Source organism: Homo sapiens, chromosome 2, assembly GCF_000001405.40.
Source record: "Homo sapiens chromosome 2, GRCh38.p14 Primary Assembly".
Taxonomy (NCBI): domain Eukaryota; kingdom Metazoa; phylum Chordata; class Mammalia; order Primates; family Hominidae; genus Homo; species Homo sapiens.
In genome coordinates this window covers 178,299,474-178,311,522 of record NC_000002.12, presented here as the reverse complement: position 1 = coordinate 178,311,522, position 12,049 = coordinate 178,299,474, and the positions used below count along the sequence as shown (strand labels likewise).

General features: G+C 40.0%; 1 protein-coding gene across 48 annotated transcripts in view; it reads right to left on the bottom strand.

Moving 5' to 3' along the window:
• The window catches only part of OSBPL6 (oxysterol binding protein like 6), a 209,120-nt gene that overhangs the window by 91,371 nt on the left and 105,700 nt on the right, over positions 1 to 12,049 (bottom strand). For 38 of the 48 annotated variants that reach the window (XM_047443146.1, XM_047443150.1, XM_047443130.1 and 35 more), the window contains one exon: positions 5,237 to 5,493. In XM_047443146.1, coding sequence (XP_047299102.1) covers positions 5,237 to 5,338 — 102 coding nt within the window. In that variant the 5' untranslated portion in view covers positions 5,339 to 5,493. The remainder of the gene's footprint in view (positions 1 to 5,236; positions 5,494 to 12,049) is intronic. The other 10 variants (XM_047443132.1, XM_017003267.3, XM_017003269.3 and 7 more) reach the window with 1 other exon arrangement.

Sequence of the window (12,049 nt, the reverse complement as noted above, 5' to 3'; positions counted from 1 at the left end):
AAACCCTGTTTTCATAGGGCTTACATTTCAGTGTTAGGGAATACAGGAAGGGGATACAGACATAAACAGGAAACAAATACAAAACCAAATAGATAACATGCCAGGTGGTAGTCAATGCTTTAAAGAAAAATCAAACCAGCTAAGTGGACAAGGAGAGATGGGTACATGCAGGGAAGGGCAGAGAAGGCTGCCCAAGGAGGGTATATTTGGAGACTGAGCCAAGTGTATGACAAACCGGGGGATGGCTAGATGAAAAGCAGGTGAGGGTGAGGGGACCAGAAGTGCAAAGGCCCTGAGGTGGGTGTGTTCTTAGCACATCTGAGGAATGTACTGGAGAGAACCACTTAAAGGGAACATGGTATGCGCTCAGAGGGCCAGGCAGAACCAGATTATGAATGGCATCGTAGACAGTGGTCAGCAATTCAATATTATTTGGACAGAGATGGGAAGTCACTGGAGGGCTTGGTGCAGAAGAGTGGCTCACTCTGACTTAGGTTGTGAAGGTACTACTCCAACTGCTCTGTAAAGAATGACCTGTATGTTGGGCAAGGACAGAAGCAGGGAGACCCACTGGAAAACTGTGACGATAGTCCAGGTGAGAAATGACGGTGGCTCAGACCAAGGTGGAGGGGGAGGAGGTGGCAAGCAGTCATCAGATTCCAGGTATATCCTGAAGGTAGAACCAAAAGGATGATTCCTGGATTCCTGGATTTCTCACCAAATGAAAGAATGGAGTTGTCATTTATGGAGGCAGTGTAAGCTGGGCAGGAGTAGATTTGAGAGGGCAATTAAGAGTTCAGTTTTGAGGCTGGGTGCGGTGGCTCACGCCTGTAATCCCCGCACTTTGGGAGGCCGAGGTGGGCGGATCATGAGGTCAGGAGATCGAGACCATCCTGGCTAACACGGTGAAACCCTGTCTCTACTAAAAATTCAAAAAATTAGCCGGGTGCGGTGGCGGGCACCTGTAGTCCCAGCTACTCAGGAGGCTGAGGCGGGAGAATGGCGTGAACCCAGGAGGCAGAGCTTGCAGTGAGCCGAGATCGCGCCACTGCACTCCAGTCTGGGCAACAGAGCAAGACTCCGTCTCAAAAAAAAAAAAAAAAAAAAAAAGAGTTCAGTTTTGGGCATGTTAAACTTAAGGTGCTTTCTTAAAATCCAAGTTGAAATCACCCTTGGTAAGTTAAATATTACTGACCTACTGACTGACCTACTGACATCCAGGATCAGAAATTACAAATCCAAATGCTTTAAAGGGCAAGTCAGTCAACATAAATAAGTATTGAGGGCAGGTGAAGACTGTAGCTGATCAAAGAGTAAATATCCCAACTACACTGGAAGGCATTATTGAGCCCAGTCTACTGTTGTCATCAGAAATCTGGGATCAATGTCCCTAGACCTTCCAATTTTTTCATAGAAGGAAGAATCTAAATTTGTAACAATCAAATCTTACAGGGGAAAAAGTTCCACAGTCTACTACATTCTAGAATTACTCAGTTAAATAAAAAGTTCTTACTTCGGGACTTATCGGTGTCCTTAATTTTGTAATGCACATTGCAAAAGATATTTTGTTTAGCACTTCTCTAACTTATTTGACAGAAGAACTCTCTTTTAATACAACATCTCAAGTGGCAAGCATTCCTCGGCACACACTTTGGGGAATGCTGGTTTATTGGTAAGTCCTAGGTGTTTCATCAACAACCCTTATGCTCCCTCTTGGAATGTTTTAGGGCATATATTAATATGTTTATTGCAGCTTAATGAGTCATAGTTGATCACACACACAAAGAGCCAGTTTTGCTAGATGTTCTAACAGCTCATATCAGATTTAGTGAAATGCAAATGGAACAATTATTAAAGCCTTCTAACTTGTTAAATAACTAAGAGGAGGCTTGATGCTATCATTGGTGAAGAAACACTTACTGAGATCACAGGGGCACTGAGTCATTTTATTTCGTAGCTCCTCTCCCTTCTTTACCAATTATGCTATCTAATGTAGTGACAGGAAGGACAGGTAATTACTATTATGCACAGATGTTCTTTGTTTTACTTATCCATGAGGAAGGAAGAAGAGAAGGACAAATAAATCAGGAATGGAAAATTTGTAATAAAAATACAAAACTAATGTTGTTGCAGGTCTTTAAAATATATCCTCCAGGATATATTAAAACATTTGAGGTTCAAGGCTGGTCTCTGAAGACTTAAGAGTACATAGTCTGTATACGAGAGCTCACAATACAGATGAGGAGATCAGTACATAAAAAGATAAGCAATATAGAACCGTCAAATATTGTCAAAAAGGTCTATAAAAGTTCAGAGGAAGGAGAGGGTAAAGTGGGTTTGCGTGGCCAGTGGGAGTGTCATATGAGCCGGTCTTTGAGGCATAGGGAGGCATCTGGTTGAGAGGAGGGTGGTGGGAATTCCATGCAGGAAAGGCAAGTAGAGATAAAGACAGGGCAGTTCAGGACTATGATCAGACAAGACTGTTGAGGTTGGGAGGAAAATGGAACACAAGCCTGGACCAGATCATGCTAGACATGGGGTTCCAAGTAAGAAACTGTGGCCTTAATTGTGTAGGTAACAATGAGTCTGATGGATTTTGAGCATGAATCTGCCCTACTCAGGACATTTGAAATGGTGAGGCCATAAGTGAGATAGTGAGGCAAGCGCACTCTGCAGGATCCTGGGTAGAGGTGATGAGAGCTGTGAGAGGGAGCTGACAGTGGGAATAGAAGGAAATTATAATATTATGAAGGAGGAAATGATCAATAGGACTTGTTAACCTATTGAATGTGGGAGAAGCAAAGGAGAAAGACAGACATTGACCCTGGATCTCTAAGAGAATGGTTATCCTGATAGCAAATTGGTTTATACATATTGATTTAAGACACAGTGGTACCACTCAAGCGGCAGTGCATTTAAGTAGAAATGCTCAATCATTCATTAGTTACCTACGATTAGAACTTGAGAAGGAAAGGCAAATAATGTGCATTAAGATACCACTGTATTCTCAGCTATGTGCTAGATCCTAATTTAGGAGAGAAATGGGGCTGGAGTTTGCAATTTGGCACCATCTGCATAGATGTCAGTCAAATCAGGAGAATGGAAAGGATTCAATGAAGCCAAATTTATCACACTTTCTCTATGTCCCTTCACTATGAAAACAGTTATCACACAAAAATAGATGCATATAAAAAACACTACATCACATCACATGATCAGTCAAAATATCTGAGTTCCCTAAGTTAATTCTGAGGTTTAGGCAGTGATTGAGATAAGGAAGGAAAAACAGAACTGTAATTGATCTCTTCTATTCTTCTCTCCCCTTAGGGAGGTAGACAGACACAAAACAGGAGTCAGGAAGGAACCAGGGAAGAAAGTTTTTGGGAGCGTTTCCACCTGCTGAGATAAATAGGAGTAAAAATAAACTCTCTCCTTAAAGAATAATAACCCTTTGAAAAGCGTCTCTTACTTTTCTAGAACTCATTATCCATGTACAGACATGCTCCTTTCATTCCCATCATAAAACTTTTCATTCACAAGCCAGTGAGGAGTCACACATTCCACCTTCATGCTCCCTCCGGCACACCAGGGTCTCAGTGTTTCCCTATTGCTTTGCGTGCCCGTCCTGGAGCTCGGGTGCAACAGGCAGAATAACAACGCATGATAGATGTTTCTACAGGAGTCATCCGTCTTTACCATTTGCCACAATTCTCCAGGGTGAGCCGGGTCAACTGCTTCCTTCTTCCCAGCAGTCAGGAAGGTCATGCTGCTTACAATGACTCTCTCTCTGTTTAAATGCCCAGGGAAGGGAAAAATGGAAGAGCCATAACAAGAAAGAACAGCAGGGCAGGCAAAGGTAGACTAAATTTGCAAACTTAGAAAGCATCTCAGAATATAGTAGTTATTTAATATAAAAGTGCTTCCATTCCTGGTACTCTTACTTTCTTTGACTCTGTAAGTGCAATACAATAAATATTATAACTGTGTGTAATCACAGATTTAATGGCATGACTACTTCTAAAGAACCGAATATAGGTGTCGTCTTTGAACTCAATAACAAAAGACACCAGTATCAAAAGTTCCCCAAGACCCTGGAGTAGAAACACCTGCCTTAGGATCTGTGAAAGATATATACATTAGCACCCCTGGATTCTTACAGATTCTCCTGGAATTTCTTGCTAAAAAGGGAGAGAGAGTGTTGGGAGGGTTTCCTAAAAAGCATCCCCAGCAGTGTACTTGCACTATCGAAAATGAATTCATTTTTGGAAGTGGCTGTCTCAAGACCCATGTCTATATGATGGCCAATCAAATAACTGATGCTCACACTCCTAGAATCTAGGTAATATGCTCTGAAAACATAAAACAGGGGGTGAGGGGTGGAGGGGGTGAAGGAGAACCTGCATGATGCTCACTAATTGAAAGTTGCCAAAACGGAAAACTTTTATAAAAAGGTAATAACACCTACTTATTGGGAATTTCCAGTTACACAACCAAGATACTATCACAAGACAAATTATGATGGAAAATAATCATGCTCAGACCTGTGCTGGCTGAAATAACAACCTGTTCTGACAGTGAAGAACATTCATACGATGAAGGCTCACATAACCCTGCCAGCAGAATCGCCACTTCAACAGTAATGACATAACAAAAATAACTTGCAAAACTGGCTCAAATGGGACCATGGGCGTTTTCTACCATGATTAAGTAATAACCATTTACTTTCTCTGTTGCCTGTAAACATTGTTTGGGTTCTCACAGCTCTTAATTCCTGGTATTACAATTTTATCTGTAACCTAATTCCTGAATCTAGCTGTTACCAGATTCCACAAAATACCAAACAGAGTTAGGGCTTGGCAGCCCAGTGACAGCCTTATAGGAAGACGTCCTTTGCAGGGTTCACAGTTCCCTTTCCACCTCCATGAACGAAGAGAAGAGTGTTCAAGTTCTTGATGCTGGCTCCCCCTCCAGGTGCAGGGAGGAAAAGACGGCAGGGCTTCTCATAGCCACCCTACCAGCCTTCTGTGTCTGCCTTCTAAAAAAGAGTCCTAAATCACAGAGAAGCAAGAGTGGGAGCTTCATGACATCAATGAACGTACCTACAGAAAATGACGATTTTTCACTTGGAATAAAAGACTTTACAACAAAATTTCAGAATTAATTAGCAACCCCATCCTATCTCAGTGGTATTGCATTTGCATAAAACAACCAAAGGCACTTAATGCTCTTCTCTTACCTGCCTACTGTCCCTTTGGGAGGATGTTGAAGAGGAGGCACTTCTATGGGTTGGAGTGGATGTTTTATGAGCAGGGGAAATGCCCTTCTCATCTGAACTCATCGCTGCAGTTAGAGTCTCGTTTTATGCACTTAAGACCATCCCAATCTTCTCTCAAATCCACAAACAAAGAAGTAGATGATTTTTCAGCTTCATTCCATTTCATGAATCAGGTTTGACTAGAAAAGAGCAGGCAATATTGAGGGTGTCCAAACCACCTAAAAGCAAAACAAACAAGCCTCATATAAGTAATTAAAAGTCAAATTAAAATCATTATCTTTAGGATGAAATATTAATTTGTGTTAGTGAGAGGAGGAACTCTGACACATTAGGAAATACTTCTTCCTCTAGATTTTAAGGCGGAAGATGAAAGTGTCAGTGTGTAAAAAAAAAAAAAAAAAGGACTGTTAACAAGCAAAATGGGAAGAAATCATGTACTAAAGTCATATTCTCTCCTCTTGCATTTTCTTTGTTTTAAAGCAGATTATAACGCTATATTTGAGACCCTGATGCTAAAGACGCCAGATTCTCCTCCGGAAACGTAATCTCTCCTACCCAATGGACTAGAATAAGAGCTCGGTCCATGTTTGTCTTCAGTTTAGTTTAGCTATGTCATGTATGTGACGGTTAATCCAACACAAAGTAGTCAGTTACAAAAGAGTTAACACATTGTGTGCATCCTGTGATCCAGCATTTGTGAAGGATCCAGGAATACATATATCCACATTTATTTGTACCTCAAAACTACAGCATGCCTACATGTGACTCTCAACAACCAACATGCTCGCAAACATCTACAGATTGACAGGTTATCTTAGAGCAGGGGTAAATGGAGTTCCTTCACTTATGCACAGCCAACAGCCACTTCAATTTTTTTACTTGGATTCATGTAAGGAAGGTTTGCATTGTTAGTATTAAGGTTAAAGCTTGTGTCAGAGAGAAGCTCTTAAATTGGCCTTGTCTCCAACACAGCTATGCTAAAAAATGTTAAAAGGTAAGCACTATGGTATAACATTAAAAGCTTAAAAAATGATATTTCCCAAAAGATAGACAATTAAAGTGAACTTTATCCTCTTACAAGAAGAAGGTCACATTCTAGCCCCCATCTTAATGCTAATATCTTCTTGGAGGAAGTACAGAACACCAGAACACTTGTGTAGGCTTGTTAGCACAGGCTGGGAAGGAAAGCTGCTAGCAGGAAACAGAAATCAATTTTTAGGCCACAAAAAAGTGAGACCTGAACTTCAGTCCAGAGGGTGAGACACTGAATCAGATAAACAAAAAAAGATGGAGATATATGGGCATTATGAAGACAGTGACTGAGGTGAACTAATGGATCTGGGAGTTAGAGCTGAGGTCCAAAGAATGAGCGGTTTACTAAGTACCAGGGTGTCTGGCGTGACATGATCAACAGATGAGTGGTAGCCAATATGACTAGAGTCAGAGATATGGCGATATGGTGGTCAAAGAAATGCAGAGACCAGTCCCTGCAGGACCTTGTAGGCCATGACAGTTGCTATGGTCTGAATATGTGCACCAAAATTCATGTGTTAGAAACCTAACCCCAACGCAACAGTATTGGGAAGTGAGGCCTAATGGGAGGTGTTTAGGTCATGAGGGTGGAGCCCTTGTGACTAGGTTAGTGCCACTATATAAACAGCTTGTGATATGGTTTGGTTGTGTTCCCACCCACATCTCATCCTGAATTGTAGTTCCCATAATCCCCATATGTCATGGGAGGAACCAGATGAGAAGTAATTTGATCTTGGGGGCGGTTACCCTCATCCTGTCCTCATGAGAGGTCAGACCTGATGGTTTTGTAAGGGGCTTTCTCCTCTTTTGTTTGGCATTTCTCCTCGCTGCTGACATGTGAAGAAGGAAGTGTTTGCTTCCCCTTCTGCCATGATTATAAGTTTCCTAAGGCCTCCCCAGCCATGCAGAACCGTGAGTCAATTAAACCTCTTTCCTTTATAAATTAGGTGCTCTTGGGTATGTCTTTATTAGCAGCATGAGAATTGACTGATACAGCTTGTGGGAGTGGGTTCTCTCTCTTCTGCTTTCCTGCCATATGACGACATGAGGTTCCTCCTCTCCAGAGGATGCAGCATTTGAAGTGCCTCTTGGGAGCAGAGAGACAGGGCCCTAACCTGCTGGTGCCTTGATTTCCCAGCCTTCGGAACTGTGAGAAAGAAATTTATGTTCTTTATAACTTACCCAGTCTTGGGTATTCTGTTATAGAAGCACAAGTGGACTAAGACATTGGCATTTTGATTTTTATCATAAGCATGAGAAGCCATCGAGACGTAACCAGATTTGTGTTACTAAAGGGTGATTTTGGCAGCTGTGGGGAGACTCCAAGTGGGGAAGTAAAGAAGATGAGGAGGGCCCAATCAGGACTCAGGAGAGGATGGGAGAGTGCTGGCAGAAATTCCAACATTGAGTCCTGTGTCCTGTGACTGGACATGGTCGGGGAGGCAGGGTTGAGGCTAAATCTCAGGTCTCTGGCATTCTGAGCAAGAAATGGTCAAAGGAAATCCAAGATCCATGGGAAAGTCATGACTGTGGTTAGAGACATTGCTGAAGACATTCAGTTGGAGACAAACTCTTGGAAATGTAGGTCTGGAGCTCAGGGAAATCTAGGCTGGAGATGTAAATGTTTAATAGACTATGGTAATGATACAGATATATTAATCAGATCCTTTAAGATCATGTAAATTTCATATGTGCCAGTAAATGAAATTTTATATGGTCCTATAGTTATATTTTTAATAATGGATTATGTCACCCTGAATGTGTTATTCAGGATTTTAATGGTCACCTGTTTATAGAGAATACCTAAAAGAACAATCCCAATAATTACAGGGGGAATTTTTGTAAACTGTGAAAACTGGACATTCTAGTGAATAGAACTTGTAATCCAGTCTTAAAATTTCAACTTCACTGTCACCGCAGGAAAAATGAAAGCTACTTTCCCTCCAAACTGGGAGACTTTCTCTTGAAACAAAACTAGCCTTTGGACAAACAGAAATGGAAAGCGCTGTATATCTCTTCTGTGAGCTAGAGATAGTTTCATTCATTATTGGCAAAAGGTAGTAATAAACCTCCACTTGACAGATGATCATCTAATCTTTTTGTTTTATGAAGGCATTCTAATAAGTGAGTGAAGTTTCTGATTCCAAGCTGTGGTGCCAGCAAACAGAATGCACAGACACTGCTCGGATCCTTGATTTGAAGTACTTAGTTTTCTGGTCCCAGATGTTTTACAAGTAGATACTGACTCTTGAGCCAAAAAGGAGGTACTTTTGTGATGCGTTCAAGTGCTTCCAAGGGATGAGGTTGTAACAACCTAACTCATTAAACTGAAATCCATTTGGAAGTAAATTCAATCCAAGGTATATTTCCTCTGCTGGATTTTTTCATTTAAAAAACTGTACTTTTTTCATTAACATCAATGCTAACACCTTGATTTTTGTTTTAATTTAAAATGGCATTTTCAGGATAACTTGTTTATGATAAAAGGGCAACATTTCAGTTGAACTACAGTTTAAATATGTTGAATAATAGCAAAATGAAGAAAAAGTAAGAGAACTTAATTCATTCCAAGAATTGTTTTTGAGGTTATTGTTGTTGTTTCTATTAATTTTTGTTATTTTTTTTAACAGAAAGGGTTTCAAGTACTTAATATAAAGTTGAATGAGATGCCCTTTAAAGATTATTCCAACCAATTTTCAATCAAGTGTTTGACCACCTGCTCTTTTTCAAATGCATTATAAAAGTAAGTCTAAACTCTGAGAGAAGGTTATTCTTTAGAGTGTAGGAACTGCTATAACATAAAAAAAAGTCATCTCTACGAAAGAACATTTTCAGAAATTGCCTAAACAATATTCTAAACCAAAGAAAGGCCATAAATTTTAAAGTCAACACAACACCAACATAATTACTATACTCAATGAGAAACGTATTGTGACTGAAAATAACAGCAATATGAGAGAGCTGAACATCTAATTTTTCTGTCTCATTCTTCCTTTGTAACAGTGGGAACACTACAAGTATTGCTAAGTGCTGTAACATTTGCATTTTCATTGAGTGGCATAAATCTCAGATTTATGACCCAGGGACCTAATTAAAGCAAAAGCTGGTAGGGAAGACTTCTAGAACTTGCTGTTCAAAGGCATCATAAATTGTATGTGTCCAGAAAAACACTTAAGATTGGGGACCACTTGCCCTGGGCTAAGTTGCAATGAGTCACAACCAAGCCCCAAATGTCTTTCTCACAGTCCTGAAGGCTGATAAATCAAGGCACCAGTAGGTTAGGGCCCCGTCTCTCTGCTTCCAAGAGGCTTACAAGAAAGGTTTATTTTTAGCTCATTTACATGTCCTTTAGGTCAGCTGCAGACCTACCTTGAGTGCTCTTCATTCCAGGCTTAACAAACAGCCCCCAGGAGAGGCAGGGCAAAGAGCCATTGCAGAACCATGGGATGGTTCTTAGAGCTTTTGCTTGTAGGTGGTACAGGTTAGCTCACTCACGTTTTATTGGCCAAAACGAGTCACATGGCCTAGGTGAGTCAATGATGCATGAAACTATAGTTCTCCCAGTAGGCGAGGCAGTAGATATTTGGGTATAATGATAATTTACTATATAAACTATAGGAAAAGATTAAAAGTACAGTTGAAAATATTTAAATTGACTCCAGTTACATCACTGAGAGATAACCCTTGTTAACATTTTTGGTTCTACTTTAATCAAAGTAGAAGCATAATATTCACACTATCTGCAGTATGGTTTTTTGATCAACAATATATCACTAATGGCTTTTTTGATAAACAAAGAAACTTCAACAATACCATTCTTAACCATTACAAATAAGACTACCACACAGATATACCACAATACATTTAACCATTCTTCTTTTGGGACGTTTAGGTTGTACTCAGTATATTTTGGAACAATGAGATTTATCACAAAAGAGTCTGTAATAGTTATACATTTAGTCTTGATCATTATAAAAATGACCCTTTTCATTCCTTTTAACACTTTTTGTTTTGCTTTATCTGATATCATCTCTTCCCTTTCTGCTTGCAAGTGATTAAATAAACTTTGTCCATCCTTCCCATTTAAACTTCCTGTATATTTTATATTATGTGTCCCTCTAGTAATGATCAGGTTGAATTGTTCAAAAAATCTAATTTTAGTGAAGTATTTCCAATTTCTATTTAATGTTTTAACTAATAATTGATCTTACCCCTGCCATATCATTTTGTACTTTCTATTTTTTTGGTTCTTCTTTGTTTCCTTTAATGCTTGATGGCTTTGCTTGGTAATCTGGCTTTTGCAGCATACTGACTTTCATATGGTTTTAATAGCCTTTTATATTTGACAATAATTTGAAAGATATAATTCTCCTTTTAAAGTTCTATTTCCATTTCCCTTTACATTTCTCTAAATCACGCTGGAATCTACAGTCTGTAAGTGACAGTTAAGAGTAAAATGGGACTGGGTGTGGTAGCTCATGCCTGTAATCCCAGCATTTGGGAGGATAAGTAGGATCACTTGAGGCCAGTAGTTCAAGACCAGCCTGGCCAACATGGCGAAACCCTGTCTCTACTAAAACTACACAAATTAGCTGGGCATGGTGACACACGCCTGTGATCCCGGCTATTCGGGAGGCTGAGGCACAAGAATCACTTGAACCCAGGAGGTAGAGGTTGCAGTGACCTGAGATCATACCACTGCACTCCCACCTAGGTGACAGAGCGAGACCCTGTCCCCGCTGCCCCCGCTGTAAACAGACAAAAAAAGCAGACCTTCATCCTGCCTCCCTTACCCTCTCTATGGCAGATACATCTGACAGCAATAAGTTAAGCACACCCTGAGAGTGACCCTATGGTCTAAGAAGAATGTGTGTCCACAGTCCCAAGCAAAGGAATAATGGAGTGATCCACCTGGAGTGTCACTCCTTGTCTATGAGGAACATCTGAACCCCCTGCCCATCCCTTGGAACGCTGCCACTTTTTCTAATTGGGACCTACAGGGATCTCAAAGTGTGAGGACAAATTGTAAGAAAAGCCAACTCCTTTTCTGTAAGTGAAGATAAGGTTTGTCATAATCAAAACTTGGCTAGATTTTCCTCAATTTGAGATATATAGCTTTCATAAAATTAGGGTTTAGTCCTCTATAGTTTGACATTGTATTATTCTGTTTGAAGCTAGTGTTTGGGTTATTGACAGTTTGTCTTTTTAAATATTTGCGTAACTATTTACAGAGAATTTGGAGGAACCTCATTAGAAAATCCTAGATGCAAGTTTCCTGATTTCAACTCATCAAGCCTCTAATCTCTCTCCACTCTTCTTAGGCCCCTTACTAAGTAAATGAATAAGACAAACCCTCATCCTTGATGTGGACAGCCATCAAACCTGATGGGTGGGAAAAGGGAAAAGAAAGAATGAAGAAGGAATCATATCTTTTACTTTGTTTAGCTCTACATCTGAATTTTGTATCTGAAGTAAGTTTTACAGTGAACTAAATATTGTAAAACACTTATTACTCTCATATTGACACAATTTAATGTAATCGTTACCAAAATCATAACAGGATTTTTAATGACTTGGCAATATTATTTTAAAGTTCATCTGGGCTACTCTGGATGCACTGCTTATGGGTTAACTTTGCTCCACAAGGAGCGAAAGAAAGAATAGAAAGAAACAAAACAAAGAAAGGAAGGAAGGAAAGAAAGAAAAAAAGTAAGTTCATCTGGAAGAGTAAACATATGAGAA